This window comes from Homo sapiens, chromosome 6 (assembly GCF_000001405.40).
Source record: "Homo sapiens chromosome 6, GRCh38.p14 Primary Assembly".
NCBI classification, from domain to species: Eukaryota; Metazoa; Chordata; class Mammalia; order Primates; family Hominidae; genus Homo; species Homo sapiens.
In genome coordinates, this window is record NC_000006.12 from 115,070,791 (window position 1) to 115,071,847 (window position 1,057).

General features: G+C 45.2%; 1 annotated feature.

Moving 5' to 3' along the window:
* Positions 1-842: part of an enhancer, noted in NCBI's record as "MED14-independent group 3 enhancer chr6:115391597-115392796 (GRCh37/hg19 assembly coordinates)", that runs on past the window's edge. NCBI's record gives its function as "activates an origin of replication core promoter dependent on BRD2, BRD4, P300/CBP and CDK7 cofactors, and independent of MED14, by STARR-seq in HCT116 cells {active_cell/tissue: HCT116}" and the evidence as "EXISTENCE:reporter gene assay evidence [ECO:0000049][PMID:35650434]".

The window sequence follows — 1,057 nt, forward strand, 5'->3', positions numbered from 1 at the left end:
CACATGCAAAAGAATGAAGCTGAACCTTTAACTCACATCATTTATGTTAGGTACAGTAAGTTCCTCTTCAAAGAGACGGGTTGCTCAGCCTCCTTGTTCTTTGTTCTCTATTTTCAAGCCTAACTTCCTCGTTCTTTGTACCTCTCCCTCTCCCTAGTTATGGTACATAACCTTCCCACCAGCCCTAATCTGTAATTTACATCTATTCCCTTGATTACCTGCTCTGCAATTGTCTTTCCTGCCAGAACCACCCTTCCCACTTTTGCTGTGCCCTAACATGCCCGGACATGCCTTCAACTGTAATGGACAGCCTCTCCCTTCCCGCCTAGTTAGCCCTATTCAATTTTAAACAGTAGCCAATCGGGTCAGCTTAGATTGTGCATCCTACTCCAGCCAATGGGGAAAGGACACAGCTCCAGGACCTGCTGCATTAGGGATGAAAACCCCTGCCCTACCCAGCTCAGTGTGCTCTCTCAGCAGTCAGACATGGGAGCAGCACACTTCTGCAGAAGTAAATTTGCCTTGCTGAGGAATCTTTCTTTTGTTCATCTTCATTGCGGCACTGAGCTTTTATTTACAACATTTATAAAAATTAACTCGGCTGGGTGCGGTGGCTCATGCCTGTAATCCCAGCACTTTGGGAGGCCGAGGTGTGCGGGTCACCTGAGGTCAGGAGTTTGAGACTGGCCTGGCCAACATGGTGAAACCCCATCTCTACCCAAAATACAAAAATTAGCTGGGCATGGTGGCGAGTGCCTGTAATCCCAGCTACTTGGGAGGCTGAGTCAGGAGAATTACTTGAACATGGGATGCAGAGGTTTGAGTGAGCCGAGATCATGCCACTGCACTCCAGCCTGGGCAACAAGACCGGAACTCCATCTCAAAAACAAACAAACAAACAAACAAAAACAAAAAACAAAACTCAAAATGGATCAAAGACTTACAGGTAAGAGCTAAAACTATAACACATAGGAGTAAACCTAGATGACCTTGGATTTGGCAATAGTCTCATATATGACACCAAAAGCATACACAATAAAGAAAAAAATAGATAAAA